This window comes from Homo sapiens, chromosome 6, assembly GCF_000001405.40.
Source record: "Homo sapiens chromosome 6, GRCh38.p14 Primary Assembly".
Classification (NCBI taxonomy): domain Eukaryota; kingdom Metazoa; phylum Chordata; class Mammalia; order Primates; family Hominidae; genus Homo; species Homo sapiens.
The window spans coordinates 41,218,933-41,227,080 of NC_000006.12; the positions used below are offsets into that span (position 1 = coordinate 41,218,933).

The following is an 8,148-nucleotide window of genomic DNA, read 5'->3' on the forward strand; positions in this document are numbered from 1 at the left end:
AGAACTTAAAGTACAATAATAATAAGAAGAATATTAAGGGATAACCCCCCAAAAATACTAGTAAAAGATTGTGAATGATGCATATGGACTTAACCAAAAGCTATGATATACCTATGTCAGGAGGGTGGAGACTTGGGTAGTTTATGCAGCTAAATCTGCCTTTCAGACAGGACACCAATAATAATAAAAATTGACATTTTGGTATATATATATACATATATATGCGTATATACGAAATGTACATATATATGCGTATATACGAAATGTACATATATATGCGTATATACGAAATGTACATATATATGCGTATATACGAAATGTACATATATGCGTATATACGAAATGTACATATATATGCGTATATATGTGTATATATATATATATGAAATGTCTGTGCAGATCATTTCCACATTTTTAAACTGGATTTTTTGGGGTTTTGCTGTTGAGATTTTTGAGCTCCATGTATATTCTGGATATTATTCCCCTGTCAGATGAGTAGTTTGCAAATATTTTCTTTCATTCTGTAGGTTGTCTTTCCACTTCGTTGCTTGTTTCCTTTGCTGTGCAGAAGTTTTGTATTTTGTTATGATCCCCTTTGTTTATTTTTGCTTTTCATGCTGTGCTTTTGAAGTCTTATCATACAATCTTTTTTTACAAATCATTATCTTGAAGAGTTTCTTCTTTTTTTCTAGCAGTTGTATAGTTTCAGAACTTACACTTTGGTCTTTAATCCATTTGAATTGATTTTTGGATAGGGTGAGAGATGGAAATCTAGATTTATTCTTCTGCATATTAATATCCAGTTTTGCCAGGACTATTAATTGAAGAGATTGCCCTTCTCCTAAAACAAGTTCATGATGCTGTTCTTAAAAATCAGTTGGCTGTATATACATGAATTAATTTATTTGTTCTCTATTCTGTTCCATTAGTCTATATGTCTGTGTTTATGTCAGTGCCATGCTTTTTTGGTCACTATAGTTTTGTAGTATATTTTGAAATCTGAAAATTCAGCTTTGTTGTTTTTGCTCGAAATAGCTTTTGCTAATTTGGGTTCTTTTATGGTTCCACATGAATTTTTAGGTTATTTTTCTATTTCCATGTAGCATGATCATTTTAACAATATTAATTCATCCAGTTCCCAAACATGGGATGTTTTCCATTATTTTGTATCTTTTTCAATTCTTTTCCTCAGTATTTTATAGTTTTCCTTGTAGAGTTTTTTCTCCTACTTGGTTAAATTATTCTTGGTATTTTTTGTCACTATTTTAAATGGTATTGCTTTTTAAATTTTATTTTAGCTACTTTATTGTTCATGTGTAGGAACACTACTGACTTTTGTATGTTGATTTTATATCCCGCAACTTTAGTGAATTTACTTATCAGCTCTAAGAGTTTTTTGGAAGAGTCTTAAGGTTTTTCTGAATATAAAATCATGTCACGTGCAAACAGGGACAATTTGATTTCCTTCTTTCCAATTTGGATGCCCTTGCTTTCTGTTGCCTAATTGCTCTGCCTAAGACTTCTAGTACTAAGTTGAATTAGAATGGTGAGAATGGGCATCCTTGTCTTGTTCCAAATCCTAGAGGAAAGGCTTTTAGCTTTTTCCTGTTCAATATGTTGTTAACTGTAGGTTATCTTATAGGGTCTTATTGTGTTGAGGCACTTTCCTTCTATACCTGATTTATTGAGACTTTTCATTATGATGGCATGTTGTATTAATCAAATGCTTTCCCTGCATCTGTTGAGATGTTCATATGGTTTCTGTCCTTCATTTTGTTGATCTGATGTATCACATTTATTGGTTTGCATATATTGAACCATCCTTGCATCCCTGGAATGAATCCCGCTTGATCATGGTGTATAATCTTTTTGATTTCCTGTTGTATTTGGATTGCTAGTATTTTGCTGAGGATTTTTGCATATGAGCTCATCAGGAATATTGGCCTGTAGTTTTCCTTTATAGGTGTATCCTTACCTGGTTTTGGTATCAGGGTTATGCAGGCCTCATAGAACAAGTTTGGAAGAATTATTTCTCCCTCAATATTTTGAGTTAGTTTGAGGAGAATTGGTATTAGGTTTTCTTTAAACTTCAACAGAATTTAGCAATGGAGTCATCTGGGCTTTCCTTTGTTCAGAGATTTTTTATTACTGATTCAATTTTGTTACTCATTATTTGTCTATTCCTGTTTCCTACTTCTTGGTTCAATTCTGATAGGATGTGTGTGTCCAGAAATTTATGTTTCTTCTGGGTTTTTTAATTTATTAGTGCATAGTTGCCAATAATAGTCTCTAATGAGCCTTTGTCTTTCTGTTATATATGTCACAGAAGAAGAATAGTTGTTCCAGACACCTTGGAGGTCTGTCTCCAGCTCAGATTAAGTCACCAGGTGGAACAGATGGCATGGAAAGCTCAGAGTGTGCTGTCCCATCATTCTCAAGCAATACCTGGGTGTCTAGTAGGGATGGAGGCTTAGGTAAGGCCCTGAAGAGCTTTTATCTATTCCAGAACATGGCACTTTCTGAACAGAGTCAACCCTAAAAGACACTCTGGATTCAACATAACTTGTGTCTGAATGAGGATCACTGCACAGAGGACAGAAGAAAGCAGAGTATTACTTTGGGATTAGCTGAGGCCCTAGGCTCATGCCTCTCTTGTGGATTCCAGAGAACCAGGCTGGACCACATCAGGCACTATCTCCTGCTCCAAAAAGGCCCAGGGGGTCCTGAACCTGAGCAGGTAGAATGACCTTCCCTTCAATTTCTATCCCCGTGCCCTAACACAAGCCTTAGATGTACCCACTTCAAGCCAGCAAAAGTCCCATTCTCAACCCCAGAGAAAAGGAGCTGGGGCTTGGAGCACTATGACTATATAAGCTTCTTATACCCCTTGGACAAGGCATCAACCTAGCAAATGTGGTCTGGTGGTGAATGAAATCTGAGCAATCAGGAGCCTCTTTCTTGCAGTTAAAGAATGGGACCAACAGCTCTAAGAACCTGATGAGCAAAGAGACACTCTGGCTGTCACAGGGTGGGAGCTGGAGGTGGGTGTCAGTGAACACTTGCAGGAGGAGGAGAAACTTTGAAGGTAGCAGAAGATTTATAAAGCATAGAAGGGGTTAGCATTCCATGCTGGGGAGTACTGGGAGCAGGTGGTGGAGACACACGTACAAAGCGTCATCTACAAACGTAGATGGCTTAGCTGAGTGGAGAAAGGAGAAGGATTGGTTAGAGCAGGACAATAAATTTCTTTAGCAGAGAGCCTTGAATGCTGTGCAGCCCTGTCACTGTGCACTGCAGTCAAAGGGAAGTGTTAAGGGCTTCCTGGAGGCCCCTTTGTGGAAGCATGAGGAGCTCAGTGCAGATTCCCCCAGCAGCCACGAGCAGGAGGAATGAGGTGGGTAGATACTAGAAGCAGGAGGGAGACCTGGTGGATTCCTTTGGAGTGAGAAGGGTTTGGGGCTCCCAGGAAAGGTTGAGGCCCATCTTCCACAGGCCCAAGCCCCACTTGTCTGTTCTGCTGGCCAGGAGGAGGGAGCAGGCTGGGCTTCCAAGCACAACCTTCAGCAGACACACACACTTGTGGGTTCAGGAGGGTCAGACCTGGGGAGCCCACACTTACCTTTGACTTGGCAGACCTGGCAGTGCCAGCCACTGTTCTGATGTGCCGATTCATCCTGAACAGAGGCCTGGTGTTCTCGGTCCTGTTTGTCATTCTTTGAAAGTCTGGGCCTTGGGTGAGTGGGGGCTGGGCCAGGCTTGAGGTGGAAGTGAATGAGGCAATGAGACAGCTACTGCAGATGCTGCTGTGGGAGGACTGCCTCCCAGGGGCTCCCCAGGGCTCTTGTCCCCTGACTCCTCCTCACTTCTGTTCTCAGGAGGTCTTTGGACAGGGGCAGCGCCAGGCCCTGGGACAGGGGAAGGATGTGAACCGGCTGGGCTTGGTTCCCAGATGGACGACCAGAGCAGGAGGGCAGGAGAGGCTGTGCTGATTGGACCCCAGGCTTTCCTTCACGGCAGGGAGGGCAGGCTTAGGCCTGGCGGGCTCAGATGGACCCTTTTCAAGCACCGTCCTTTCTCTCACTCCTCAGGTGAGGTGGCCTCCTGAAGAATCTCCACAAGGCCAACCCTGGAGACCAGCAGACTCTCCCTTCCAGGATCCCACAGGTGCACCCTTCCTGCCCAGCAACATCACATTCCCTGGATCTGTTCAGTGGTCAAGAAAGGCCTCCTCGACTACCTCCCTGAGCTCACTGCTTAGTCCCCCAACCCCAAGAGGGAGACATGAGGGTGGTCCTCAGAAATCACAGTGACGGCCATCGGTCTGGGCATTAAATAGAGCAATTGGGACTCACAAGGTGTAACTCGAGAGGGCCTGACATCCATTTCCCACTGCCTTCCTCACTCCCTCTGCTGGGATGTCTCTGGCCCTTGGGCAGACCCCGCACCGAGACACATACCTCTTCTGGGGAGTTTAAGTAATCAACTTGTTTTTAGAGCAGTTTAGGTTCTCAAAACAATGAGAGAAAGTACATAGAGTTCCCGTATACCTCCTGCTCCTCACATGCACAGCCCCCCACTATCCACATCCTGCCCAGGGGTCCGGCTGTTACAGCCGGCTACCCTACATTGAGGCACCCTGTCCTGTCATCAAGCACACAACCGTCCTGAGGGCTCACTTTTGCTGCTGAGCACGCGCTGTCTGTGCTTTGACAGACGTGTGATGACATCAACTCATCATTGTGGGATCACACAGTTGCCCCACTGCCCTCCAAATCCCCTGTGCTCCCTCGTTCATCCCCTCTGTTTATAAATAGGGAAAAGGTTATTCCAAAACTGGCTTCAGTTCAGTGATTAGTGTGGAGGAAAAAGGGCTCCATGTAAAATAAAGCTTCTTCCCCAAAGCCTCGGAATTTTAACCCTCAGAGGGCAGAGGGCCCACGTTGGCTTTCCTTTCTTTACTTGGTCTTCTCTGCCCTCCAGCTGCAGTTTGGGAAGCCTCCAGGCCTGGAGCATGGAGAGGAGAAGAGGAAGGGTCAGGAAAGTCTGGTGATGACCCAAAGAGTTCAAGCTGAGGTTTCTCAGAGGGCACCGTTGTGGGCTCTTCCGATGACACCCTGCCTGTCACCTGCAGCTTCCTCATGTAGCCTTGGATCTCCTTCCTGGTGGGTGCTCCTGACATCTCCTTCAGCCTCCAAGCCTTTCGCAGTCCACTTCCAGCTTCCTGCCATGCGTCCCTCCACCTCCAGCAGGCCTTTTGGGTGGGATCTACAACCACCCATGCTGGGTGCCTCACATCTGTGCAGCCCAACATCTGGCCCACGGAAGCCATCCACTTCCTTCACCCCAACAAAGTCATGGAGCCTGGGGGCCCCCACAAGGTCACCTCTCCTCCATTCCACCATCAGGACAGCTTGCCGCCTGCTGTCTCTACCCAATACAGCTCTCAGACTGAATCCAACTCAGCTGCTACATCTCCCAGACTGCAGGGGCCACAACCATCTTTCCAAGTTGTGACCCTATCTCAAGCCTCTCCCTAGGTTTGAGATAAGATGCAGGAATCTAACCCTCTCCTCCCCCAGGGTCACAGCACAACTACCAGCTGTCTCCAAAAGTCCTCTCCCAATCTTCACACTCCTCACAACTTTCTACCCTTGATGTGTGTGAGGGATTCATTCCTCAAAGAAGGTTTCAATACCTTTTGGCATGTGCTTCACACTGGCCTCCCACCTCACTCTGACAGATAGCATATATTTTCTTGGGACTTGCATTAGTCAAGATTTAGCTGCAAACTACAAAATCCAAGCTACGGATTTTAAGGAGAAAGAGATTTTTAAAATCAAACATTAAATGCTTTACAGAATCAGATCCTATGTAATTTCTGGGCATCACTCTTAAAGCCACAGGATGGGCTACTAAGGGACCACTGCCTTTGCCACAGTCAACACCCTTTCCAAATCAGGCAACTTTCCAAATCTGGAAGCTGCCATCACAGCCCTGGCTAAAGAACCCCTCCATCTCACCCATAGTCTACCGGCACAATGGATGCCTCTCTTCCCATTCTAGCTCACTTCCTCATTTAAGTCTCATACAAATACATTGAATGGGTGGGACCTAAAATATATCTGGAACCCTAGCTGCAAAGGAATCAGAAATGATCTTGTAGACCTTTTACTATAGAAAGACCCATGAAAAAGAGGTGGCAGCCACTCATAGTGGCTCACACCTGTAATTCTAGCACTCTGGGAGGCTAAGCTGGGTGGATCTCTTGAGTCCAGGAGTTCAAGACAAGCCTGGCCAACATGGTGAAACGTTGTCTCTATGAAAAGCAATAATAATAATAATAACAAGGTGCATTGGTGTGTGCCCACACTCCCAGCTACTCAGGAGGCTGAGGTGGGAGGATCACTTGAGCCCTGGGAGGTCAAGGCTGCAATGAGCCATGATCACACCACTGCACTGCAACCTGGGCGAAAGTGTAAAACTCCATCTCAAGAAAAGAAAAAGAGAGACAGAAGAAGAAAAAAGAAAGAAAGAAAGAAAGAAAAGAAAAGAAAAAAGAAGGAAGGAAGGAAGGAGAAAGAAAAAGAGAGAGAAGGAAAGAAGGAAGGAAGGAAGGAAGGAAGGGAAGAAAGAAAGAGGTGGCAATGAATATATAGTGAGTTCACAGTGTCTACCTGAATACTCTCAGCCAAAACTGAGATCACAATAGTTAAAATTTATAAGTTTTGTTGTTTCTTTTGCTGTCAATGAAAGTCAAATATGACTAAGTGAAAAATAAACATATAGTATTTGCTTTGTTATGTCAAATAAACGCTATTTGTAAAAATATAGTATTTGCCTTGTTACACCAAATAAACCCTATTCTGTAGTATAAACGTTATAGTAACAAATTTTCATTTACAGCAATCAGTACATCGGACACTATGTGTGACATATCACACTGAAGGCATCAAATGATACAGATGCAGAGAATAAATTCCTATTTTCCTCTTCCAGAATTTATCATACTTTTCTTAGAAACTTCAGTGTGTTTAAGAAAATGACTCTTATTACCATCAAGTGTTAGTAGGTGCTTTACACCTAGCCGTACTAAGATTTCTTAAAACTTTGCTGTTTGTTATGTACACGCTGTTTGTTATGTATCAAGTGATTATTCATATGCTTTGTGTAAATCGTTTCTATACATATTAAAACTAATCTTTTACACTTAGAATGCTTTCAGATTCACAGAAGAGTTGTGTAGGTATTGCATACTTCCCTGATGTGCTATGTTCAATGTCTTCTATTATTAATATAGTCCAATAGTATGCTACATTTCTCACAATTAATGAGTTGATATTGATACATTACTATAATTTTACAAAATTGATGAGTAGAACTCATATATTTATAATGCGTGGTAGGATAGTTTGATGTGTGTATTAACTGTGAAATTACTAAATCAAGCAATACCACATATACTTACTTGTTTTGTGGTGAGAACATTTAAAATCTATTTTCTGTCATTTTCAATTGTACAATTCATAGTTATGAACTGCACTCACCATACTGTGCAATAGATCTCTTGAACTTATTTTTTCTGTCTAACATATTGTGTTTCTTCAACAATACCTACCCAGTTTGTCCAATTCCCAGCCTCTGGTAATGCCATTCTACTCTGTTTCTGTGGTAGATTTTATTAATTGAAGTCCTTACTTCATTCAGATTACCCTGGCTTTTACCTCATGTACTTTCTGTGCTCCAGGATCCCACCTAGGAAGCCACATTGCTTTTAGTCTTCATGTCTGCTTAGGCTCCTCTTATTCATAGCAGTTTCTGAGAATTATTTCTTAGTTTTGATGGCCTTGACAGTTTTGAGGAACGCTGCTCAGGTATTTTGTAGAATGTCCCTCATGTGGAATTTGTTTGATGTTTTTCTCCTGGGGCCAGCGGCTTTGGGGAAGGAGACTGCACAGCTAATTGCCCTGTCATCACATCAAGTCAATGACACATTCTAACAACCTGAGTTATCCCTGTGGGTCTGCACTTTGGTTGCCTGGCTGCCACAGTAAGTGTCAGGTTTCTCCACTGTACAGTTACTCTTCTCTTCCTTCCCATGCTATCCTCTGGAGGAAAGTCACCTGCACAGCCCATGCTTAAGCCGTGGGA

The 8,148-nt window shown here is 42.8% G+C and overlaps 1 long non-coding RNA gene across 1 annotated transcript, besides 1 other annotated feature; it reads left to right on the forward strand.

Annotated features, from left to right (window-relative positions):
- Positions 1–2,332: 2,332 nt before the first annotated feature.
- Positions 2,333–6,896, forward strand: LOC105375055 (uncharacterized). Its single transcript, XR_926794.3, has 3 exons — positions 2,333–2,474; positions 4,089–4,164; positions 4,981–6,896. It is a non-coding gene; the product is annotated as an uncharacterized LOC105375055 (long non-coding RNA).
- Positions 3,891–4,390: an enhancer, noted in NCBI's record as "H3K4me1 hESC enhancer chr6:41190561-41191060 (GRCh37/hg19 assembly coordinates)". NCBI's record gives its function as "activates a minimal SCP1, AML or CMV promoter by ChIP-STARR-seq in primed H9 embryonic stem cells {active_cell/tissue: H9 hESC(primed)}" and the evidence as "EXISTENCE:reporter gene assay evidence [ECO:0000049][PMID:30033119]".
- Positions 6,897–8,148: the final 1,252 nt, after the last annotated feature.